The sequence below is a fragment of the Homo sapiens genome, chromosome 11 (genome assembly GCF_000001405.40).
Source record: "Homo sapiens chromosome 11, GRCh38.p14 Primary Assembly".
Lineage (NCBI taxonomy): Eukaryota > Metazoa > Chordata > Mammalia > Primates > Hominidae > Homo > Homo sapiens.
Genome location: NC_000011.10, coordinates 83891871 through 83919644, shown reverse-complemented (window position 1 = coordinate 83919644; position 27774 = coordinate 83891871). Strand labels below are relative to the sequence as shown.

Here is a 27774-nt window from a genome sequence, read left to right as displayed (position 1 = left end):
GCAATCCAGATGTGGCTGACCCCTGTTCTCAGAAGATTTAGGGACCACTGGACCTAGAGAGTTTCTTTTGTGGATATAGTCAACAGCCACCTGTAATGTAAAAAAGGAGAAATAAGAAAATAAAAGGTCTAGAAATTTATTATGGATAGAATATTTCAAATATGTATGAATTTTAATCAGCTTCTGCCTTATTTATTTTGGATCCAGCCTGATTTTTTTCCATAGCTATATATAGATTTGTATTTATTGAATGCTGGGTATTCAGAGACTCTGCATGGGAAACCTGAAGGTCAGATAGTAGCCCCGTTTTCCTTTCTATCTGACCAGTTACTTGGTAAGTTCTTACTATTCTCACCATCAGTGAAATAGTACAGGGCCTATGGTACCTGTAGACCCTAAGCTACACTGGACATGAGGAAAGCAGCTGTGAAATATAAAACAGAGCCTCTACCAGATTTCTACCATTATAATTGCTGGAGTTCTGTGGTTATTCTTTCCCTCCTTATAGGGCCTGTTGGTGAATCACAAGATGTCCTAGGCAACCATTTCCACACTTTCACAATACAACACTTTCCTTATTGTTTTCCCATAGAAATCTCCTCACTTACAAGAACTTCCTTACTCTTCTCACCTTTGTCACTGTCCCAATTGCTTTGAGTGATGTTATGTTGGATATGCATCTCCTTTCCCACTCTTGTCCACACTGGAGCTCCATGTTGACGCTAGACTTCTAAGAACTGGGCAGTGTCTGGCAGAGGCAAGATGAGAAGCCTTCAATTTATTTTACAAAGACTTTTTTTTTTTGACCAAGATTTTTCCACCTTGGGCTGTGACTTCACAGAGGGGAGTCTCATGTTACAGCACTGAGATCCCCACTCTGCCCTTTGACAGGCGCCGTGTGGGACCCATGGTCAGCTGAGGCCTCTTTCCTCAGGCAGGGACTTTACTTCACTTTCTATCTTCCACAGCAGCTCTGTTCCTGTGCTGGCCAGGTTCCCTGCCCTGATTTTCATACTGGAGCCTTTTCCTCTGGGATTCTTGTGACTCATAAAGTCAGCCTCTAATTCAGGCACTTTTCCCAGCAGAGAAACAAAAAAGACAAACATGGACGTTTCTGTTGTTGTTAAGTAGCATTAACATTCAGGTTCAGGAGCAACAAACCTTTTCTTAGAAGACGATATACCTTTTAAAACCCTGAAGTTAAAGAATTACCACAGGAAGAATGGGGATGGCAACTGTAGGAAATCAGGATAGGTGTGAGTGAATGCCTTGGCCACTGAGGCCTCAGGCAGCTACTGGTATCCAATAGGTCGAGAGCACCTATGAACCTCCGATCAAAGACCTTCTGCTGTAAATCATAGCTCCACAATGCTAGTTGTCTCTCCTGAGTTCTCACCTATACGTATACTGTTGGTTTCTTCTTTCCATTCTCTGTAAAAGGCCCCCTAATGTATCTCATGTTCTTGCTTTAGCCCACAGTGAGACCTCTTTCATGGAATGCCATGGAGCCCTCTCTCTTTCCCTAGGTCAACAAGTAGAAATTCACATGTGTTCAAGATCCAAGCTCTTTGTAATGGGACATCTGCCTTCTCACATTATTACTGTTTTCAGACCCTACCTTTCTGCTTGGTAGGTTCAAAATCAGCTACTAAGGGGACTTGCAAACAATCCTTCATTCTTCTTCATGCACTTTCATCCCATAATGCCTAAGGGAATAATGAACTTCAAGAACAGCCAGAATCGAATTGTAGATTTTCCTCTAGTAATAACTGTGTAACTCTAGTAATAACTATGAAAACAGAATATATTTCTGTCATCTGTTTAAAGGTAGGAACCATGCTGTATGTTATCATGTGACACATGAGCACGTAGTAGACATTCATTGGAATGACAAGTGGTGGGTATTTACCTACGACTGTGATTTATAGTCTTATAGCTCAAAGGAAGAGTTCACATTTAATGGAAGCTCTTCTTCAGGCTCAAGGATATGTGCGGAAGAACTGGCAGACAGAGGGAAGTCCTTCCAGCAGGGTCAGATTTCATCCTTGTTCTCTTGGGGGATGGTGATGCACATAGTTTCCCCTGGGATTTTTTGATTTCAGAGTTAGGACACAGAAACTGATTTTCATCAACCCATCTATTATGTACTATAACAGTGTCTGCTTTTTGTTAAAGTCTTTTTCATCTATACTAAACATGTGTCAATATCAGATGCTCTGGAGAAGTTTCACCATATGTGGATGCCTCTAACATAGGTTAGGTCATTGTAATGAGCATGACTAGACTTTGAAAAGTAGAATCAAGGTACATAGCAAGCAAAATTCTCAGCCACTCTGATTGACTCTGTAAAAGGTAATAAAACAAAAACTATTCAGCAAACTTAGAAGATTGAAAAGAAACAAATTAAGACCTGCAAAAGGACTTTATTTTCAACACCAGTAACTCTGAAAGTTTGTTTAGCATGCTAAGCAAATGTCAGTGGTTGGCAAGGTGAGGGTAATTGTCATTGCCTTTCTCTGAAGTTCCTTCTACCAATGATAAGTAAAAAGAAATGGAAAGAAAAACACATTGCAAATAAGCCTAAAGCTAATAGTGCATCCTCAGGACCCTTAGTATTATTAAATCATATAATGCTTGACCTGAATCAGAAAACTTTCCACCCAAACACTTAAAAAATTGAGAAAATAACTCCAGCAAAATCAAGAGACTCACCCAAGATCACACAGTCACACCAGTAGTCTGTGACGGATATAGCAGTTGGGTCAGAGACTTCAGGTGGTAGTGCTTTTTCTCATTCACCAGCCTGTAATTTCAGCTAAACACAATCTACCATAATGTTTCATGTTAAGAAACATGGCCTATCATAGAGCAAGACCGGAAGGAAGGAAATAAAACTTACCTCAGGTTAACAGTGTTTACCTCAGGGAAGTATGATTGGGATGGGGAAAGAAATTATCCTTCACTTTATACAATTTTAAATTGTTTTGTCTGTAAGCATGTTTAAGTTTTGTTATTAAAAACTAAATTTAGGCTGGGTGCAGTGGCTCAGGCCTGTAATACCAGCACTTTGGGAGGCCGAGGTGGACAGATCACTTGAGGCCAGGAGTCTGAGACCAGCCTGGCCAACATGGTGAAACCCCATCTCTACTAAAAATACAAAAATTAGCCAGGCATACTGTCATGATCCTGGAATCCCAGCTACTCAAGAGGTTGAGACAGGAGAGTCACTTGAACCTGAGAGGCAGAGGCTGCAGTGAGCCAAGATCACACCACAGCACTCCAGCCTGGGCAACAGAGCAAGACTTTTGTCTCAAAAAACAAAAAACAAAAAAAAAACCCTAAATTTAAAAATCTCCCATTAGGCTCAGAATTTCAGTCATAAGTATGCACCCAAGAGAAATGAAAACATACATCCTTACAAAGCTTGTATACAAATGTTCATAGCAGCATTGTTCATAATATAGCCAAAATATGGAAACAACCCAAATGCCCATCAGCTGATGAATGGATAAATAGTATGTGGTATGTCTTTATAATTCAATGGAATATTATTTAACCAGAAAAAAGAATGAAGTACTGATACGTGTTACGCATGGGTAAACCATGAAAAGATTATGCCAAGTAAAAGAAGACAATCGCAAAGAGCCACACCTTGCATGATTCCATTTCTGTGAAATGTCAACAATAGGCAAATAAATCTGTAGAGTCATAAAATAGATTAGTGATTTCCTGGGGCTAGAGGGAGAGGCTATGGGAATTAGGAGATGCTGATCATGGGTATGGGATTTCTTTGGGAGATTATGAAAATGTTTTAAAAGTTGACCATCATGATGGTTGCACAATTCTGTAAATATACTAAAAGCCACTGAACAATGCACTTTAAATAAGTGATTTTACTGTAGGTAAATTATATCTCAATAAAGCTTACTTAAAATTCTTACTTAAAAGTTAAATAATTTATATAGCCACAGTGACATTAATACTATGTCCTTATAATGTCAAATATTCAGATAAAAATAATAAAAAATAATTTTAAAAAGTTTTAATTTGTCTATGAAAGGTTATTCAAATAAATTATTCAGAAGAAGGTTTTCAGATTTTTACATTTTTAACATGGCTATAGTTCTCATTTACTAACTACTTTTTGTTTGGTGTTTTGCAAAAATAATCACTAATCCTAATAATAAATCTATACAGTAGGTATTTTTATTTCTATTTCACTGATAAAGATGATAGCTACCAGAGCTGAGATTTCAACCTAGTTTTGTTTGCTTTTGCTACACTACAATCATCATTCCATTACATAAAACTAATCCTTAATACTCTCCTTCCCAGCCAGAAGAGTTGTCTACACTATCTCTTCTTTCTTATAACCCATTTACTCCTCAGAGAACTGGAGCTTAAGTTCTGCCCCCAGCCCTCCACTGAATTCATTTGCACTAAGGTTGCCAAGATTCTTTGTTTCTAAATCCAGTGGAAACTTTTCAGTCCCTATCTAATCTTATTTTCCTGTACACTTGCCTCTGTTGCCTGCTCCTTCCTAAAACTTTTTTTAAACTTCCAGAATCCTGTTTCCAGGCTCACTGTTGTGCTTGCATCTCAGACTTTTTCTTCTCTGTCTCATTAGGCATCTCCTTTTCTCCTCATCCTTTATGTGTCTGTTTCACCCAGTGATTCCTTCCTTCTCTTCCTACTCTGCACACCCACCTGAGTGGAACACATCCACACCCACAGATCTGATTTTAAACTATGTGCCTATGTCTCTCGTCTCTATATCTACAATTAGATCTTGGCTCCAGACATACATACCTACCGGATATCGATCCTCAAATGCTCTGAAGCACATCAAAAAGTATGTTCATTACACTTACCATTCAGATTGTTGTCTCCTGTTAAATCCACTGTCTAATGACCATCAACAGTGTGGGGTAGCATTTAAGGGCATGTGCTTGAGTTCGGATCCTGGCTCTACTCACTAGCCGTGTAGCCTCTTTATGCCTTAGTTTCCTTATCCATAAAATGAGAATTTTTTAAAAAGTATCCATCTCATAGGATAATAATGAGGGTTAATGAGTTTATACATGAAAAGCATTTGGCCCATGGTAAGCTAAGTACTTCTGTGGAAAAGAGATCAGAGATCAAGTTAAGGCAAATCAGTAGGAGGAATCTAGAAAAACATCTTGGTGTTATAACTTGATCTCTGTGTCTTGGTCCATTTGCGTTGCTATAAAGGAACACCTGTAGCTGGATAATTTATAAGAAAAGAGGTTTATTTGGCTTTCAGTCCTGCAGGCTGTATGAGAATCATGATGTCAGCATCTGCTTCTAGCAGAGGGGAGCCAGGATCACATGGTGAGAGGAAGAGAGCAAGAGAGAAGGGAGATGCCAGATTGTTTTTTACAGCCAGATCTTGCAGGAACTAACAGTGAAAACTCACTCAGTCTCCCAAAAATGACCCCAAGCCATCATGAGAGATCTGCCCCCACAACCAAAACACCTCTCCCAGGCCCCACCTCCAACACTGGGGATGAAATTTCAACATGAGTCTCAGAAAGGACAAATATCCAAACTATATCACCAAGCATCATATCCATATATCTTTAATATCTCTTGAATGATTTTTCTGCAGTCTTTCCATATTATCTCCAGTCTACATCCAACTAGAATCACTGCTCATCTGAAGTATTTACCCACTGGTTTTCACCACAGTCTGTCTATATGCACCTGCAATTCATTATCCACACTGTAGCCCATGTGGAGCATTCTGCATTGCAAATCTGGTTGTCATTGACCTGATTAATCTTCCAATCTCCACATCACCTGTCCTTCAGTCATATCAGTTCTTTCAGTTCACAGAAAAAACAAAAGTCTCCCTTTCTTTGAGGTCCTTGCTTATGCTTCCATTTTGAAACTCCTCCTCCCTCTCTTAATGGGCACATGTACCATTCACCTGGCCACCTCATTACCAGCTCCCACAAACAGGTCTGTTCACATGAGTAACTGTTAATAAGCCCAAGAAATGTGTTTTTGGTGGTGCCACCAGAAACCCCTCCCTGAAGTTCTCAGCATGGGTGAGGGGACCTCCTCCATCCTTCCAAAGTTATAGAAATTAGCCTACATTATTATTATTATTAATTACTTGATTTCCATGTTTGCCTTATCAACTAGACTGTGAGCTTCTTGAGTTCAAGGACTCTGTTTTAATTATTTCCTCTATCCCTAGTGCCAGCAATGTGCCTGGAAAGTATTGAGTTGTTGGTTTTTTAAGCAATAAAAAAAATATATTTAAATCATTATTCATTTATTTACTCCCATAAGAGCCCTGTATTTGGTGATCCTGTGAAATGCTCTGTGCCATCAACTGAGAATACAAAGATAAATTAGACTTAGCTCTTTCCTGAAGAGACTCCCAATCTAACAGAGACCATAGCAGACAGGAAAACAATTAGCATTCCATACAAAGCTGCTATAATCGAGGGCATATTCTGACAGGGTATCAAGAATGGAATATGTTAATTTATTAACATGATTAAAATGAGAGAGAAGTTAAGGGATGTTTACACACACACAAACACACAGATTGACACTGAGAAGTCTGTGGGATATTAACTAATGGGGTCAGGTGACTGCATTCAATTTGAATTAAAATAGAGATAGAAACCTTTCTTGGACATAATTATAGCCCTCACTGCCTTATTCTTCCCACTATTTAAATTGGCTCCTTAAGCTCTTCCCCAACCTTTGACAAAGCCGCGGGCATACTATAAAATATTCTATCTGTGTAATTCCAGCACTCATGGATGTTCTCTCAGTGTTTTCCCAAATTCGAGTCCATAGAGTTGAGCTGATTCATGGCCAAATTTCTGCTGGCCTGGGGCAAAAAGAAAGAAAAGAAGAACTTTGCAATGTACACATACAAATATCAGTATCGGGTTGCCCATTGTCCTTCCTTGGGAGGAATCCTTCCTGAGATTGGAATCTCCCTTTAATTTTGGTGTTAAAAATATTTTATTTTATGAAATTATGGTGATGATAGATAGTAGATATTATGTTAACGCGCTTCATTTAAAAAACTAAAACGTGGATTTGTCTTCAGGATTTTTCATTAAAATCGTTCCTGCCACTGTGTGTTCTTGATGCAGTCCCCCAGTCACCCTCTTGAAATCAGCTAGCACTCTTTTCACGGTGCCATTTTTTGTACACTCATGCACAACATTTGGTAGACACTGTGTTTGAACATCTGATTAGTTTTGGCTGTGGACACTATTTTCAAAAGCCCTTGGATCTAGGTTTTGCAGCCTGTAGTCCAGACACATTGGGGACCCAAACAAGACATCTTAAAGATAACAACCCAGTCATAAGTTGGATGATTACTATATATACAAGTCGTCATCAATAATGTTACTTTTTGGTTTTTGTGATGTCCCTGACATCACATATGTCTCCATTTGACATATGTCTCCATTTGACAAAAATTTTATATAATTTTGATGACATTTTTATTTTTTTCTTTGTTTTCTTTTTTTCTATATAGCTGCATTATATGACAGCCCTTGTATGCTGATAGCCCCTCAGCAAGTGAGAGTATATAAGTGCAAAATATGATTGCCATTTTTGCTCTTGTGTTTTATTTGTTGCTGTTTCAATAATTCTTTTTTTTCCATTGCTCTAAACTGCTTATATTATAACCTTTGGGGTAGGAATTAACAAGTTATCTGTACAGCTTTCAAAACACCAAAATAAGGAAACACATTTTGTAATTGCACTGTCAAAAAAAAGAAAACAAAAAAAAACCTTTTGCTTTTCTTTTAGTAACAGGCATAAAGAATGTCATTTTATTTCCTAAGGTTTTTTTCCTCTAAATTAATCCCTCACTATTTTCGCTGATTCATTATACAACGCTAGCCTTATTAGAGAACACTTTTTGTAGCTCTGATCCTGCTAAATAGAAAAATAAAGTGATTTAATAACTCCATATTATTAAATGTTATGAGGCTAACATTGAAATGGAGTTGAGAATTACAGAGGCAACAGAAGCTAGCAGTAACACATGAGATGGACAATTTTGCTGTAAAACCAGCATTCTTAAATGTCAGTCATTAACACTGTGTATACAGAGGAGCTGATCTGAACTGCAAAGGAAAAATCCCACACATTAAAAAATAATGAAAGAAAAAAAAACCTTAGTTCATAGAAACACTCAATCTAAGACAAGTTACATGAGGAGTAGAAAATTATAAGTTTAGCCTGTTAGTTTTGCTAATATGAAACTGTACCCTGAAGGAAAAAATAACTACGGTAAAAGCAATATAGAATGATAATTATATTTTGTTATACCCAAACCTACACCTTTGCCTTAGATTGTCATTATTTGACTTCTCAATTCAGGCAGTTCTGTCTATTGTCAGCTTCATTCCCCTGTTCCTTCCTCTCTCTGCCTCTGCCCTTGCTATTCCTCTACACTGAGCTACTTTCCCATCTTTCTTTGGTTTTCATAACTGTATCAGTATAAGAAAATCTAGCTCAAGTATTTATTATTTACATCACTTTTTTTCTTGAGCACTTCTACCTTTGTGAGTGCCTATCTTCTTTGGAGTCATATCATGTTTTGCCTACTTTAGGCCAAACTATTATTGCTCAATTAAAGATTACTTTGTGTAATCGGCAAATCATTCATTTCTGTGGTCTTGTCTCATTAACTATATTAATGTAAACCTCTTGAATATAGAGGCCCTTGATATCAATTTGTTGGTATCCCCATAAAAGTAGAATAGTGCCATACACATAGTGGGTTCTCAAATGTTCAGTGTGTCATCTTTAATAATCATCACGACAATGATAGCTGTCGGGGCATGAAGAGCAACTGAAATGTCTTCTCAAAGTACCTGTATGAAAACCACATTTTTCTCTAAGTTAAAATAGCTGTACTTTTTCCTTGAATAATCTTTTAAGTTTTTAAAGTATTAATAATTGTACATATTCTTGGAGTGCAGTGATGTTTCGATACATGTAATGTGTGGTGATCAGGTTAGCATATCCATCATCTCAAACATTTATAATATCTTTGTGTTGGGAACATTTAATATTTTCCTTCTAGCTATTTGAAACTATGTATTATTGTTAAATGCAGTCATTCTACCATGCTACAGGACATTAAATTGAAATAACAAAGAAAACAAGTTCTCCACGGTGCTTCCAGGACCGTTCATTTGATGTTCATGTTTCACAGGACCTTGACTTCTTTAGTAGAAGAAAAGTTAAACTTTAATGAAAACACTGACTGACCATTAATCGAATATTTTCTTAGTTCCAAAAGTTGTCAGCTTTGAGGTCATTTTATGTCAATTTGATGACTCTAAAACTCTTCTCCCTTAAAACCACACTTCTTGTGTCACAGCATAGTGTATCCACACTTTTGCAATGCACATTAACTTCTCAAATACTCTATTACAGAGCTCAGCAGCTGCAGTTCTCCTACAGGTTTGACACCTTTTCAGTCCAACTTTTCAATGTAGTCTACACTCCACTTCACTTGGTTGATTTACTCTGCTGGGTTTATTACTGAACTGTTCATTTAATTTAATGACTAACAAAAGACTCAGATAAAATTCTCCATCCTGTTTTTAGAGCCTAGCATAATTAGACACATCTCCCACATCTTCAGATAGCAAATTTAATTAGAATCTCCAGTGGATCACTTTCTAGGGCAGGAACAGGACATGGAGACATTGAGGCTGCTTCCCTGGAGTAGAGGAAGAGTCTTCCCAAGCTTTCTTTGTATTGACCTGTATCAAATGTCTCAGAGGAAGATTGGAACAGAAGATAAGCCTGTGATATATTCAAACCCTTGAGCAATACTGTCTCCAGGGATCAAAGTCCTTTTCCCTCAACCAGTAATCATTTGATGAAGCATAACAATTAATGACCCTTGGGTCCAGCATAAGTCTCTCTTTTTTCAGATATTTAATTTCTCCCCATTTCGTTTCATCATAAATTTAAAATTTGAAATGGACATCAGTAATTTTGAAAAGTTAAACATTTATTTATTTTATAACAATCCGTAGTTTCTCTGCCTTCTTACTTTTTACTGCCACATTATATGACCTTACGGCTTTTCCCAAACTTACTCTGCTTTCTTGCTATTCACCAGAGTGGATGTAAGTGAGGTCTTTGACAGTGGCTTCCATTGTCAGTTGCAGTGCTACCAGTCTAGCATGGAATGATACTCAGTTTACTGCCACGAATTATTATACTCATTTCTCTGATTAATTACTATTTGCAAAAACCTTGCAGCTGGATGGAATCAAAGAGCGTTAGCACTGAAAGGAGTCTCAGACATTATTTGTTTCAGTGCTCAGTGTATAATGTACAGATGGGAAAACAGTCCCACAAAAGGGAAAATGGCCTGCCCAAGGTTGTGTAGCAACTTAGTAATAAATGCCCTACTAGAACAAGGGTCTTACTGCTTTCACGCCAATTGTCATTCCAGCACCTAAACTGAAATCTCTTGAATAGCATATGGCATAAAACCTTGTATTTCCTTTCATTCCTTCAAGATGATACTCAGTGAGGCAAGGATGCAGAGTCTGCAGAGGCTAAAAAGCTGCATATGAGGGTGGTCATGATAGCTCATGCCTGTGATCCCACACTCTGGGAGGCTGAGACAGGAAAATTGCTTGAGCTAGGAGTTCAAGAATAGCCTGGGCACATAGCAAGACCTCATCTCTATGAAAAAATGTTTTAAATAGGCAGGCATGCTGGCACAGGCCTATAGTCCTAGCTACTGGGGAGGCCAAGGTGGGAGAATCACTTGAGCCTAGGAGTTCGAGGTTACAGTGAGCTGTGATTGCACCACTCTGCTACAACCTCGGTGACAGTAAGACCCTGTCCCTTAAAAAAAAAAATGCTGCATATTGAGTCCCTTCCTTTGGCCAGTGGCCTACTCTAACAGTCATGTGCAATAATCTTTAATTCAACAAATACTTACTAAGCAAATAGTGTTTACTCTGCTAGGAATGGCTCAGTTAGACAATTGTGGGAAGATAAAAAAGGACACTATATTTGATCTCTAGGACAAATGCTAATCGTGGGTGTGAGGCAGATGAAAAATATGCTCTGTTTTTGTAGGTGTGTATGTGTATGTACATGCGTGCATATGCTCGTGTGTGTGCATGCATATATGCTCATGTGCGTATGGAGAGAGAGAGAGAAAAAAAGACAGTCATAATCAATACAGGGTGCTTCAGGAGGTGCTGAGAAGAGAAAGATCTCAAGTGTTCAGAGGAAGGTTAACATAGTGGGAAGACAAAGGTTGGTATCCGAGGCTGAAAAAAAAAAGAAGGTGAAATAACTTGAATAAAGGAATAGAGATGAGAAGGCATCTATGAACTCATTCACTTATTCATACATGTAGTGACCATTCATTAAAAGCTTATTCTTTGCCAGATGGCAATAAGTATACGGATACTTAGATGAAAAAAATGTTTTCTGATCTCAGGGGATACATACTCTAGACCAAACTTCTAACACTTTACTGTGCATAAGAAGCAACATTTCCAATGAGCTCTCAGGAGATGCCAATGTTGCAGGTACTTGAATTGCACTTTAGAAACCAATAAACTTGCTTATAAAATGATGATTATAATATAACATGACAGTTGCCATAATGGAGGCAAGCTACTTGGGAAGCTGAGGAGGGATGGTCAGTTGAACTTAGGCAAGGGTGCCTTGGGAACGGAGAGTGGAGGTGCTGGTGGCAGTTGTCTAGATGAGCTTGAAGGTGTGTGCAAAGCAGCAGCAGACAAGGCCAAAACCATAAACTAGAACTGTATATAAAATGGAGGGCCTTAAATTCCAGGGCAGGAAGGAACTCAGGCTTGCTTATAAACTTCTTGCCACATTTCCTGAGTGTGATTTTTCTTCCTTTACCAGTAGTGTCAGAAAGAATTAATAATTATAATATTAATAATAATAACTGACCATTATTGAGCATGTTGATGGGCCAGCACTGGGATAAACCTGTTACATACATGAGCTCATTTGATCTCACAAGCATCCTATCAAGTAAGTCATTATCCTTCCCATCCTATTATGCTGTTATTGTCCTCTTTTTCAGAATTAAAAAGCAAAAATAGTGAAGCTTAGAGAGGGTATCTGGATATTTGAAAATAACTCTCGTTCACTCCAGGGATGCTATCATCCTAATTTACTCAGTGTGAACCAAAGGAAGGTCACATGATCTTGTATTCTCAATTCTATTCTCTATTATTTTTGTATTTTCTATATACTTCTGCTATCATACTAAATAGTAATTTGTTTACCTGCCCATATTCCTCACTGTGCTGTTTTATTCCTATTTTATTCCCCAATGTTTGGGATATAGTAAGTGTTTGGTGATTAACTATATTCTAATTCTTCTGCAATGTGATCCTTCTAGTTTCTTTCATGCCTTCTTTCTCAAGATGTTTCTCCCACATTAAATGTTCTCTCATTTCTTCTTTCTCAAGCTGTTTCTCCCATATTAAGTGTTCACTGTTTAAAACAGTCTTCACATTGACAACTTCAGTGCGAGATCTTCAAATGCCATCTCCTACATGGATCTTTTTCTGATTCTTCCTCTGCAGACCTTGGAAGAAACTGGCTCTTCCTTCTTAGCAATTTCATAGTATTTTTCTGGTACCTCTGTTATAGTACTTTTATCTTATATTAGGTATATACGGTAATTTCTGTGCTTATTTTATGTTACCGATAAACTTGAAAGTCCCTTGCAGAAGGAGTAAGCCCTGATAATGTGGTTATTAAGTGGTTAACTTTCGGAGCCATACTGACAGGGGATATTTTTAGGCTTTTTTTGTTAGGTTGGTTGGTTTTTGTTTTCTTCGTTGGTTTCCAGTACCTTTGCTCATTGACCCAATTACCTTGGTGAAGTTTCTTAACCTCGATGAGATTCATGTGTAAAGTGGGGAAATAATGTTTACCTCGAAGGTTATCTGGAGAATTAAGTGGCACATATAAAGTGCTTTGCATTGCCTACACAGTAAGCACTTGATACATGGATGATATTGTTGGTATCCTTTGTGTTCTACCCACATCACACTACTCTCTCCAAAAGTAGATGCTAATAATATTTTGGAATAGATGGATGAATGAATGAGTGATCAACTTTCTTATGAGGCTTACCTCCTCTACCATATTGTAAATAGTCCTATTATACTTCCGTGCTCCCCTATCTCCCGAACTATGTATGTATGTCTTTATTAATTATTGAAATCTTGGCCAGGTGTGGTGGCTGGTGCTGGTAATCCCAGCACTTTGGGAGGCCGAGGTGTGTGTGTGTGTGTGTGTGTGTGTGTGTGTGTGTGTGTGTGTGTGTGTGTGTGTGTGTGTGAGAGAGAGAGAGAGAGAGAGAGAGACATCTACTATAGCAATCTTCCAGTTAGCAAGCTGGAAACTGGAATTTACTCCTAACAAAACAGAACTATTCACAAAACTATTTATAACTTTTATTTTGTGAGCTTTTATAGTGCAAAACTATATATGTATATATATATATATATATATATAGAGAGAGAGAGAGAGAGAGAGAGAGAGACAGACAGACAGACATCTGATATAGCAATCTTCCAATTAGCAAGCTGGAAACTTGAATTTACTTCTAACAAAACACAGCTATTCACAAAACTATTTCCAACTTTTATTTTGTGAGCTTTTATAGTGCAAAACAATATAATTTTACTAAAATTGCTTCTTTAAAGGGGAAATTTGCATATTAAAATTTATTTGGCCCACCCTATCACACAGCTGCATAACAGTATGTTGATAATGTACAAATGGCTTACGTCAAAGGTGAATTAGACCATTAAGATGTAAAAAGCAACAACCCATCAAAAGATGATAATGAAAGTTCATTGGGGCATTTAGGGAATTTAGTGAGTAGAAGTGCTTAACAATAAATTAGGCAAAATGTTTCAACTTAGTTGATTCTCAATAAGTGGTCCATAAAACATATATGTAAGCAAGAATGACCATGTTAAACATGTCTGCTTATTCACTACACTTCTTATCATCTGTTTTGCTAAAAGCTTTGGAGAACAAAGTAGACCTCATCCCTTTGCTGTGGGTCTCTGTAAGATGGAAGACATACCATATATAAGCCATCACAGGATTCCTCAGTTAGTCATACAATTAACATAAATTGTGATAAGTGCTGCAAAGGAAAAGACCAGAGTTCCTTGAGGAAATAAGACTAGAGGGAAGGTCAAAGGAAGGTTTTTGTAAGGAAGTTCCATTTAATGGAGCCCCAGAGGATGGGTAAGAATCAGATCAAAAGTGAGAGAAACTGCTTAACAGTTGGACTAATATGTATCATGACCCTTATTTCTTCCAAACCACTGAGCCCCTGCCTCAGTTTCCTCACCTACTAAGTGGTGATATCAATCACATCTACCCAATAGGATCAATGTGAGGATTATATGACATGTAATATGCTTAGTACAATGTTTGCCACTCATTAAATATTAGCCATTATTATTGTTGTTTTAGGGTATTATTATTATTACTAGCAATTTTATCCTAAATGCATGGGATGATACTGAAAGTAGATTAAGCTGGTTTAAGCAAGGGAATGAATGTCAAGAACAATGAAGGACCTCAGATTTTTTACTTCATTTTCAGTCTAATAAGTAAGCCTCCTACACTGTACTGGATACGGACAGAAGATTCTTCACTCCTGAATCAGAGACTTTATTACTTATAATAATAGCTGTAGCCAGAATAAAAGCATTTTCAGCAGTTCCCTGAGCTCCAGTTCCCACAGTGCAACACAAAGAAGGCCAGGTGATGCCTGCACATGCAAGTGGTTGTGTTATAGGAAAAGAACCCCAAGTGTAGGGAACTTGAATCTTTTATTAGGAACAGTAATCCTGCCTGGTCTTTACTATGGAGAAATGCATTATTGTTATTATGATGGATGGTTAAAAAAAAAAAGTAAACAAAAGAACTAGTTCCAGAGATACTGTGTCTATCTTTCAAGGCTGTATACTATACAAATATCTTTGAAAACATAGCCCAGAACAAAGACAGTCAGTGCTTCTGCTAGCAACATGTGCAGAAATGCAAGAGGCTCATAAATGTCTCCCAAGAATTATATAATCAGATCTGATGTTTTATAAGATCATTATTTAAGCTGTTAAATTTATAAGTATTTGTAAAATTTTACATCTTTTACTTCATTCTTTTACATCATAAACTTTTTTTTTCAAATTGTCACATTGTGCTTATAACACTAATTTTTATAATTATACAGCACAGTGGTCCTCAATTTGTCCATGATTTTGCATATCAATCATGGTCTAAAAATATTAAATGGAAAATTTCAGAAATAAACAATTTATATGTTTTAAATTATGTGCCATTTTGTGAAGCATGATAAAATCTCTCACTATCCTGCCCAGGACCCGAATAATCCCTTAGTCCAGGTATCCATGCTGTATACACTACCCACCCTTTAGTCACATAGGAGCCATCTCAGTGACCAGATCAACTGTTGCAGTATTGCAGTGCTTGTGATCAAATAACCCTTATTTTACTTAATAATGCCCCCAAAGCACAAGAGTAGTGATGTGGGCATATTGTAATCATTGTTATATTTTATTATTAGTTATTGTTGTTAATATCTTACTGTGTCTAATTTATAAATCAAGTTTTATCATAGATATGTATGCATAGGAAAAAACACAGTATTTGTAGGGTCCATTACCACCTGCAGTTTCAGGCATCCAATCTTGGCACATTTCCACTGAAGATAAGAAGGGACTACTGCATATCAATAATATAATCCACAATAATTTATGTAGCTATTCTTGAATGACAGGAGGTTTAGTTTGCTTCTAATTTCTGGAAATCACCAATGAACACTTATTTTAAGATGTGAATTGGTTGAAAATATAAAGCAACTACACTCATTGTGGAAATAACAGTACAAATGGCCTAGGAAGAATTGCTTGATGCTGCCAATTTGCCTAAGCCCCCAGTTTCCAATAAGGGATGGTGTTAATAAAGGAATATTTTTAGCCTGATTGCAAAGGTTTACAATAAATTTCAATAAAGTGCTCAGGATAAACATACAACAATTCTACTTCTACCAGAAACATTTTCTGAGACTGAGAATCAATTAATACTATTTATAAAACCATAAGAACTTCATTCTATGAAATTCTACCCAGAGAGAAGGTCAGGAGTAACAGAATACTCTATCAGATGAAGCTCTGTACATATCTACCTTCAAATATTCTTGATATAAAATGGGTCTGATAGGTTTTTTCCTACTTATTTCAAAAATTAATTTTTAGATTAGTACTCATATTTGTTACCTAGTAGAGAGTAATCTTTATATGTCTAATTATTAGGGAGTTTACTATATAGCATTAGTTAGAATACTAGATCATCAAATTTAAAGCTCATATTTACTGCTAAGGAAACTCATTGAAAAGATAAATGAATTGTCCATATTTATAAAATTAAATCAATACCTGTTATTGAGCATCTTCTGTATTAAAGAGGCTGTGGTTGCCCGATAACACATTTCTCATCCAGAAATACCTACCCATAAAATTGGGTAAAATGGAGATATGATTTGTTGTATGGACGGTGCTATGATCATAGAACAATGGCAATGGAAAAAAATAAATGTGTGTGAATTATCCTGACTGAGAACGTAAGAAAAATCTCAAGGAAGCTGAGCATTTGAGTCACCACATCTCAGGAACATAACAACTCATCTTGCCCACTATCCATTTAGAGGTTTAAGACTCTTCAGCATCATTTCCAGTTCCCCATACCCTGCTTTTTTATCCTCAGGGGCAGGAAACTGAATCTCTTCATATTGTCCAATCTGCCTTCCTATATTCCTGGGGATTAGGAAGGGTTCCCTTGGGATGCATTTCTGTCTTCCTAATACCTATTAGTTTTAGTGCTACCTTCTGGGACCACACAGTGGAAGTCCACTGCCCATTTCAGATGAGGAGGTTGCACATGTTTACAATTTGCTTAGAGCTTTCCCTTTTCTAGATTAAACATTTCCAGTGCCTTCTGTTGCTTTTCATTTGGCATGATTTAAAATCACTTATCATTCTGATCTTCAGATTGAAGAGTAATTGTTTCTGAATCCAAAATAGTACCCCTTGTGCAGGCTGATTGGTGAGTAAGAGTGTAAATATTCCCTCCCTTGTTCTTGATGCTACTTTTGTTAATGTAGCAGTTTTTATATCCATATAACAATCTTGATTCATTCAATCTTGATTCAAATGAACCCTCTAAACTTTTATTTTCCAATGAAGGCTAGTAATCTGTGGTGGGTACTACAGAATCAAGTACAGCAAGAAATAGGAGATAGGGGAGGGATATTCCAGAACAAGGGGAGCCATATATAAATGCCTAGTGGCATGAAAGAACATGAGATGTTTGAGAAAGGCTGAGTAGCCCAGAGTGAATACATTATAGAATATGCAGAGGGACATAAGGCTAAATGGTGGATCATGAAAGGCTTTCGAATTACATTTGTGAATTAGTGTTTAGCACGATTACTTTGATAAAATTTTAAAGGATGAATTCAAGAAAAAAAAATACCTTGAATAGTGGAAAAGTAGTTAATAATGGTGAAAGTAATAATAGTAATAATATTTAGTGATTAATTGAGTACCTACTATATCTTCCATAATATATACTACATACATTGTGTTTGATGTCACACAAAAAAAAATCATGAAGACTTATTTTTCTCATGTTGTGGATGAGGAAATTAAGGCTTAGTTAAGTGGACTTACCAAGGTAACCAAGCTATTCAGTGGTGGATCCTGGATCAAATCCAGGTCTTCTGACTTTGTCTTTGCTACACTATGACAACAGCAGATGGAAACTGTATTAGTACCGTCAGATGGAAACTGTATTAGTCATTTTCACACTGGTGAAAAAGAGACATACCCAAGACTGGGCAATTTACAAAAGAAATAGGTTTATTGGACTTACAGTTCCACATGGCTGGGAAAACCTCACAATCATGGCAGAAGGTGAAAGGCACATCTTACATAGTGCCAGACAAGAGAAGAGAGAGCTTGTACAAGGAAACTTAGTTTTTAAAACCATCGGATCTCGTGAGACTTCTCCACTATCACAAGAACAGCACAGGAAAGACCCACCCCCATGATTCAATTCTCTTCCACTGGGACCCTCCCACAACATGTGGGAATTCTGGGAGATACAAAATGAGATTTGTCTGGGGACACGGAGTCAAACCATATCATTCTGCCCCTACCCCCTCCCAAATCTCATGTCTTCACATCTCAAAACCAATCATGCCTTCCCAACAACCCCCAAATTCTTAACTCATTTCAGTATTAACTCAAAAGTCCACAGTCTAAAGTCTCATCTAAGACAAGGCAAGTCCCTTCCGCCTATGAGCCTGTAAAATCAAAAGCAAGTTAATTACTTCATAGATACAATGGGGCTACAGGCATTGGGTAAATACAGCCATTCCAAATGAGAGACATTGGCCAAAACAAAGGGGCTATAGGCTCTATGCAAGTCTGAAATCCAGTGAGGCAGTCAAATTGTAGAGCTCCAAAATGATCTCCTTTGACTCCATGTCTCACATCCAGGTCATGCTGATGCAAGAGGTGGGTTCCTATGGTCTTGAGAAGCTCTGGCCCTATAGCTTTGCAGGGTACAGCCTCCTTCCCAGCTGTCTTCATGGGCTGGCTTGAGTGTCTGCCATTTTTCCAGGCACACAGTGCAAGCTGTCAGTGGATCTACCATTCTGGGGTCTAGAGGACAGTGGTTCTCTTCCTGCAGCTCCACTAGGTAGTGCCCCAAGGTGGGAGCTCCTACCCCACACTTCCCTTCCACACTACCCTAACAGAGGTTCTCCATGAGGCCCCCACCTCTACAGCAAACTTCTGCCTGGGCATCCAGGTATTTCCATATATCCTCTGAAATCTAGGTGGAGGTTCCAAATCCTCAATTCTTGACCTCTGTGCACTCACAGGCTCAGTACAACATGGAAGCTGCCAAGGCTTGGGGCTTGCACCCTCAGAAGCCACAGCCCAAGCTCTATGTTGGCCTCTTTTAGCCATGGCTAGAGTGGCTGGGACACAAGGCACCAAGTCCCTAGGCTGCATACACCAGAGGTACCCTGGGACCAGCCCACAAAACCACTTTTTTCTCTTTGGCCTCTGGCTCTGTGATGGGAGGGGCTGCCATCAAGACCTCTGACATGCCCTAGAGACATTTCCCCCATTTTCTTAGGGATTAACATTCAGCTCCTCATTACTTATGCACATTTCTGCAGCTGGCTTGAATTTCTTCTGAGAAAATGGGATTTTATTTTCTATCCCATTATCAGCTGCAAATTTTCCAAACTTTTATGCTCTGCTTCCCTTATAAAACTGAGTATCTTTAACAGCACCCAAGTCACCTGTTGAATGCTTTGCTGCTTAGAAATTTCCTCTGCCAGATACCCTAAATCATCTCTCTCAAGTTCAAAGTTCCACAAATCTCTTGGGCAGGGGGAAAATGCTTCCTGTTTCTTTGCTAAAACATACCAAGAGTCACCTTTGCTCCATTTCCCAACAAGTTTCTCATTTCCATCTGAGACCACCTCAGCCTGGACTTTCTTGTCCATATCACTATCAGCATTTTTGTCAAAGCCATTCAACCAGTCTCTAGGGAGTTCCAAACTTTCCCACATTTCCCTATCTTCTTCTGAGCCCTCCGAACTGTTCCAGCCTCTGCCTATTACCAAGTTCCAAAGTTGCTTCCACATTTTTGGGTATCTTTTCAGCAATGCACTCTAATCTTACCAATTTGCTGTATTAGTTCATTTTCATGCTGCTGATAAAGACATACAAGAGACTAAGAAATCTACAAAAGAAAGAGGCTTATTGGACTTACATTTCCACGTGGCTGGAGACCTCACAATCATGGCAGAAGGTGAAAGGCACGTCTCACATGGCAGCAGACAAGAGAAGAGAGAGCTTGTGCAGGGAAACTCCCATTTTTGATACCATCAGATCTCATGAGACTTATTCACTGTCATGAGAAAGGCATGGGAAAGACCTGCCCCCATGATTCATTTATCTCCCACCAGGTCCCTCCCACAACATATGGGAATTATGGGAGCCACAAGGTGAGAATTGGGTGGGGACACAGAGCTAATCCATATCAGAGACCAATGTGAAAATGTTCTAAAAGTAGAACCAACATCACTTCACACCTCCAGAAATGCAGGAGAGGGATAAATCCTACATGACTGAGCTTTTTGGCCTGTGAGATCAAGAAGACAGGATGGTGTTTGGAGACAGAGATCCAAGTGCAGTACTGAAAAGTCTCTTTTCAAGAAGTGAGACTGGTGACTCTACCTAAGACTACAAAGTTTCGGAGAAAAATCTCAGGAATTAATGGATATGCCCTTGATAGGCTAATTTCCCCAGAACAGATTTAGCAACAAGAGTAAGTCATGTATTCAAAGATGATTACCTTTGACATTTATTTATCCAAAGATTTAACTTGAAAATATCCTCATTCACTGTATGCAAAAAGTACTCCACAGACAGTATAAATTCAGCCATCTGACACCTGGTAATGGGAGCTGTGCTGTTTAATCCTCACCTATCAGAACAGAAATAATCTCTCATATATTTATGATACTTGGTAGGGTTGTTAAAATAAAATGTGGACAATATTATCCATATTATGCTATAGTCATATTTTTTCTGAATTATACAGGGATATGAAAATAAGTAGATAAGTGCAGTTTGATGAAATAGTAAAATTAATAGGACCTTGTTATTAGTCTATAAATATTTGAAAGATGTTAACATCTGAGAAAGACAAGATTTATTTAGCTAAAATAGAAGAGGATACCTTGTGTTACAACTATGTAGGAGTAATTGGAGAAGGATAGAGGTAGTTGGAGCAATTGTATCAGATAAATGTTAAGTTGATTATTGGAAAAAATACTCTTGCCAATGAGATTTATTTTTTAAATAATATCTCATAGAAAGTAATAATAGAAAAATGAAAAAAGAATAAAAAACAGTCCTTTAATGTATTTGATCAATACTAGCATAGACTAATGAAAGTATTTAAAAGAAAAAGTCTCCATTATCAATAGCCTTATTAGTAAATGAAGAAAATGTCGTTATGACTTTTCTATCTTCTGAGTCTATACAAAAACAAATTTATAATTTACAATTTTAGACACAAAGTATTAACTAAAGCTCCCTAGCATGAGAAAATCAGTCATTATAGTTTTCTTGAGGTAATGGAAACTTATATTTACCTGAATGTAATAAAGTCATTTTTATATTTACATATCCAATATATAGGTATACACATACATATGTGTGCATTTAGATGTATCTCTGCAAATGTTTATAAATATATATTTATGTTTAGTTTATAATTTATGATTCAAAAATTCTCACATTTACACATAGATCTCTATTATTTATTATAGTTCCTAAAGGATACTTTTATCTGCAAATTTTGAGGGCAGTCAGTCAATTCCCCAAAGTTCCCAAGGCCCTTTGTATAGGCAACATTTACAGTAGGTAAAAGCACAGCCTTTGGACTTTAACAGACTAAGGGGCAATCCTATCTCTTACTAGTTTTTGTGACTAGAGGAGACAAAGTATTTTACCTTTCCAAGCCTCAGTTTCTTCATCGCAAAATGGGGATGATACAACCATCAGGAGGATTAAATAAGATAATGTGTATAAAGCAATTAACAAAACACATTCAACATAGTAATTTCTAAATAAGTAGTATGTATTCTCATTATTATTTTAGTTTTCATTTCTATCAGTTCCCACCATGACAAGGCAAGCTGAATGAGGACAGGGTTTGTTTGTTTGTCTTGTTTTTCATTTTATTCACTCCTTTATCTTTGGGTCCTAGAGAGTACTTGTACATAGAACATTCAGTAAATATTTGTGGAATAAATCAATGGGTGATTGATTTAATGAATAATTCAGCCTCCACTTTATCAAGCTGCCCTGTATAGTAACAAATAGTATTTTAGTATTCAAGTAAATTTTAGAGGGTTATTTAGAGAGCAGAGATTCAAAGAAATTTATGTTTCAAGTAATTTAACATTTAAAATATCAGAGTTTTTATAGAATACACAATTTGGGTCCTGGTAGTTTTCTTTCAGTATCAGTTTAGGTTCAAATTAGTGGTTAAAGGCATTGGAAAACAAAGTATCCCCTTAAGGGTAGTTTGTGTTCTTCCCTTTGAATCAATGCTTTTCTGTTTTGTTTGTTTCCTCATTGCTTCTTTCTTAATATTTTTATGCCACAAAGATTCAAATCCAAGAGTTGTAATTCAGCTATGGCCCAAATAGGAGTAACTAACCAAAGCCAATTAACAGTAAAATCACATCCACACTGTTGGATGTATCCACCACATTGAACTTAGCTCTGCTGGCTAGCAGTGGCTCTCTGCTTCTCTGGTTTCAAAGCTGGAGAGGAAAGCGTGACTAAACATGAATGTTATTATCAGTATTATTGAATAATTCATGTTATTGAATAACATGAGTGTTATTATCAGGTGACCAGCATCTATTAAAAGTGATGCTTTCTGCTAGTATGGAATCAGATGAAAACTTTTATAAACAACCTAGAAATTTAGAGCTTAAAAAATACAACACTGCTTAATGACACATGATTTTTAAAAAATCTTGTACTGTAGTTTCAAGCTTTATATTTTGCCCTAGACTGATTTATTATACATAATTTCACATCATATATTTACATACAATAAACTTCACCCATTTCTAGTGTATAATTCAATAATGCTTAGTAACTTTACCCAGTGTTACATCCATCACCATAAATCAGTGATAAACCACTTTCATGCCCCCAGTAAATCCCTCATGCCCACTTACAATTAATCTCCTTTCCCACCCCAGCCCCAGACAACCACTAAACTATTTTCTCTATAAAATTGCATTTTCTTGATTAACCTCTGTATTTTTAATATTCATTAATTAATAAAAAACTCAGTCGTAAGAGAATGTAGTCAGACTTGTGCCTGTTTACGGGGTCAAGCTATTTTCTTCCTTTTGTTTTGTTTCACAAAAGAAAATATGGCTGGTCCATCTTTCACAAAATTAACTTAAATATGACATTTGACTGTAATAACAGTGAGCATCTTTATGTGGGCAGATTAAGATTCTGTAATTTCATGCTCAGCTGCGTTGATGGCTTTCAGCCTTGTTTAAGCAGACCAGCTACGGACAGCAGTAAACCCTATAATGTCCTGCCATGGCTAATTGCTTAAATCGTCTACCTCTGTAACTTTTATGGCTGCTATTTCAACTAGATACCTTCAATAAGATATAAGTTTATTGGAGCAGAGCAGAATCTATTTATTGTCGTTTTCATATTTTATTCCAAAATTAAGTTTCACCACTGTATTCTCAAGTGGCAGTAAATGGATTCTTCCATTATTTATATTGTCCTTTTTAGTGAATTTGTGGTATAATAGAGGGTATATATTAATTTCCCCCACCCCTTGTCAAGTGTACTGTATACATAAGAGAGTCCCTGGTATATTCATTTGACTTCATTAAATGCAAGTACAAATGGTTCGTCTTGATAAAAGTGAGTATTTTTGCTTGGGAACTCAATGGAAATGATATAACTAGCATTACAGTGTTCAGTTCAATAGATGGGAACTGTGCTAGACATGGGGTTGGGGGTACAATGGTTAATGTGTTATGGTTGCAGCCTTCAGGGAGTTCACAGCCTAGCTGGGGAAAAAGACATTTTTAAAATAGTGCTTTACTGCTATGTGGGAAATGCCTTGATGAGGACATGCCTGGGTGCTGTGGAAACAAAGCTGAGAGCTTGCAAATTCTTTTCCTGAATCTGAGTGTGCATGAGATAAGTCCTGAAGAATGAATAGCAGCAGGCTGGGTAAAGAACAATAGCAGGGACTGTGGCTCTTGAAATCATCTTAGTGCTTCCTTTGGAGTTTTGCCTAGTTGTCAAGTATCATGTTTAAAGGGCCCTGTGTGAAGAAAATGGCTGAGGTTTTCCCAAAATAAAAGATGTTTGGAAATGGCTGTAGTTATGAAGTTTCGCTCACCTAATGAATGTTTCCACTACTGTGTTAAAAAAGACAGTAGTGGCTGGACGCGGTGGCTCACGCCTGTAATCCCAGCACTTTGGAAAGCCGAGGCGGGCGGATCACCTGAGGTCAGGAGTTCAAGACCAGCCTGACCAACGTGGAGAAACCCACTCTCTACTAAAAATACAAAAATTAGCCAGACGTGGTGGGACATGCCTGTAATCCCAGCTACTCGGGAGGCTGAGGCAGGAGAATCACTTGAACCCTGGAGGCGGAGGTTGCGGTGAGCTGAGATCTTGCCATTGCACTCCAGCCTGGCAACCTGGGCAACAAGAGCAGAACTCCATCTCCAAAAAAAAAAAAAAAAAAAAAAGACAGTAGTTCTTAGTAATATGATGTTTCCTGATACACATGTATGTGCATTATTTATAACTTGTCTTATTCCTAAAATGATCCTATTAAAGTATTTAGAAACTTCAAGGCCCAGAAGAAAATTTTTAAAAATGCAAATCAATTTCATATTGTTTTTCATGGCTGAGTGATAATCCATTGTGTCATTTGCAACAACATGGATGGAACTGTAGGTAATTATTTAAATAAAATAAGCCAGGCACAGAAAGGCAAGTATTGTATGTTTTCACTCATAAGTGGGAGCTAAAACGGTGGATCTCATGAAGGCAGAGAGTAGAATGTAGTTATCAGAGGCTGGGAAGAGAAGGGGCTGGGGAAAATAAGTTTTTTAAAGGTAAAAAAAGTATAGTTAGATGGAAGAAACAAGTTCTGTATTCCATAGTACAGTAAGGAAATTATAGCTACCAATAATTTGTTGTACATTTAAAAATAGGTAGAAGAGAAGATTTGTCATGTTCTCGACACAAAGAAAATATAAATGGTTGAGGCGATAGATATCCCAGTTACCCTGATGTGATTATTGCACATTGTATATAGGTGTTAAAATAGCACCTGTACCCAAAAATATGTACAACCATTATGTATCAATTTTAACTTTATTTAATTCAGAGGGAAAACTTTCTCAAAATTTTAGGGCAAACAAAATCTTTAAAAAATTTTTGTTTCCTTTTTTGTTTCCTTGGGGCTCTGTAAACTTCTAGGCTAGGGTGAAATCTCCTCTGTTCTAATAGTGTTCAGTCTATTTTTGCTTCTCTTTCTTTTCTTCTTTCTTCCTTTTTGTTTTTGGTTAATTGATCACTATCACTTACTTATGTATCTCTCTATATAAACTGTAAGATTCTTAGTAACAGGAACTGGGCTTGCTTCCTATTTGTAACTCTTATACTACCTAGCACAGTGCTGAATTTCAGTAGATACAGAAATGTCCTATAACAGAATGTGGGTGGTTACAAGAAGGCAACAAGGAGAATAATTTAGCAAATATGAGGTAGACGACTGAGTAAAGTGAATTCTGGAATACATTGGTTGTTTCCTGGCACATATGTGGTGCTCAGTAAACATTGGCTAAATAAGGATGAATGAGGATATGCCTTGATAAAGTTTGGAGGTGGGAGAAAGGATTTGGAGCAATTACAAACCAATGGTATATTTAGTATAAAATGTGACATGAAGTTGAGTAACATAATAATTTCCAGCAGGGTGTTTGACTGGATGCTTCCTGTTAAATGAAGTCAACACATTTTCCTCAGGTATTTCAAAGAACCAAGGCAGTGGGGAAGTGGAGTCTAAGAAAGCATTACTTCTGCAAGGTACACAGCATGCAGTAGTAATATGAAAACAATGATTTTTGACTGGAATCATGGCATTAAAGAATTCTCAGTAAGTTTACCTGATTCCAACTCATGGAAGCAATACTCTCAATTGGAAAATAAGTCAACAAATACAAAATTGAACCAATAAACAGATAATTTCCGTGAGTAATCAGTGATATGGAGAAATGTAGGAGGCTATATAATACCTGGGATGGGAATGGAACACCTTTAGCTAGAAGACCAGGGAAGGCATCTCAGGGATCTGAATGAAAAGGAGGTGTCCAGGAGAAAACCTGGGGTAAAGCAATCAATGAATGCAGATGCCCTTAGAGAGAACTAGCGAAAATATCTGAGAGGCAGGAAGAAGGCCAGCATGGCTAGGTTAGGGAGTGATAGACAGAGTGGGGAGCAATGAGCAACAAAAGACAGACAGTGGCCACAGGATTTGATATCCCTCAAAGGGACTGTGTATTTTATTCTAACTGCAATGGAAAAGTCTTTGAGAGGTTTTCTGTGAGTTGGGCAACTTATGACCTGATGTTATGCTTGAAAACAATCTTGGTCAGTGAGAAGTAACTGCAGGACAGGAGAAAAATCAGTTGGGACGCTGTTTTAACAGTCTACTAAGAGAGCGTATTGTTTCCATTAAGGTGGTAGCACTGAAGAGGTAGGGTGTATTTCTGTGGTAGAAGTAAAACAACTTGTTAATGGATTGGGTATGGAGTATGATGGAAAATAAATCATTGAAAATGCCTAGATTTTTCAACTGAACTCAGTGAGCGGTACCTCTATTTACAGAAAGGAAGATTGTAGGCCAAACTGACATGGGAGGGAATGAACTGGAATGACCAAATAAATGTCCTTTCTCGCAAGTTAGATTATATATGCTTGAAGATCATGGTCTTTATTTTAGGCTTTATTTTTTCCTTTGTCATACCAGGCATAATTCCTTGCATATACCAGGTGGTAACAAATGGGTATTGGCCAGTTAGGTGATTGGGAAGCCGAGATATGGAGAATGGATGTCTGAATCTTCTATTAACTTAACAAACTATGATAAAACTTTTGGCCTCTAGAGGTGAGTTTTTTTTTTTTAATTCTTTGCAAATCTTAAGACATGTGAAGGGTAAGAAAACTATCATAGATTTAAAAATTGTTACCTTTATGCCCTTTCAAATCCTCTCACTTGCATCCTCACAAAGTTGTAACTTGCATACAATATAGTTGCTAATAAGTAGTCATTTTTCATTAATGGGAAATTCATTAAAAGCTTCATTTGGAAGATTTTCATTGAGATCCAAAGACAAAACATTTTAGTGTTTAGATACTTTCCTTATATTGATATTTTACATTTAATATTTGCCTTATATTGGTAATCTAATGGCTATGAATACTAAATATTATCAAGCTGTTTACAGCCACAAATGTTTGCAAAAATTGCTTTGTGTCAGAAAATTAATCCCAGAGGAAAGCGCTAACTTATTTAAATGGAAGGAGTTTGTTCCCAGTGACTAGTTTCACTTTACTGGATCAAATTTAAAATCTTAGAAAGCATTGCATTTATCATGTTGGGCTCTTAATTTCCAACTTACTTTTTCTTCTTTTCAATACTAGAGCTCTGGTAATAAGTAGAAGATTAGGTGAACAAATGACTACTTGGAACATATTCAACCGAAAAGAATACCAGAGAAAGAGGCGATTCTTACCTTTGGAGTATAAATAGTAGGGCAGAGGGAACTGAACAATTGGCCTTTTATTCTGTTACCTATTGGTACAATGAGGGTGATAACTCTACAGTGACCACTGTAAGGAATTACTCTGCCATGACCATTGTAAGGAAGATTCAGATTGCAGATGTCAAGTGAAACATCTCCTCTTTCATTATACAGCTGGGGCTTTTCCATGAGGCTAATACAAACAGACT

General features: G+C 37.3%; 1 protein-coding gene and 1 long non-coding RNA gene across 53 annotated transcripts in view; one reads left to right on the top strand and one right to left on the bottom strand.

Moving 5' to 3' along the window:
• DLG2 (discs large MAGUK scaffold protein 2) overlaps nucleotides 1–27774 on the top strand; it is a 2173362-nt gene that overhangs the window by 1708729 nt on the left and 436859 nt on the right. The window lies entirely within an intron of this gene.
• On the bottom strand, nucleotides 38–27638 carry LOC124902729 (uncharacterized). Its single transcript, XR_007062821.1, has 3 exons — nucleotides 27557–27638; nucleotides 632–748; nucleotides 38–90 (listed from the first exon to the last, which is right to left on the bottom strand). It is a non-coding gene; the product is annotated as an uncharacterized LOC124902729 (long non-coding RNA).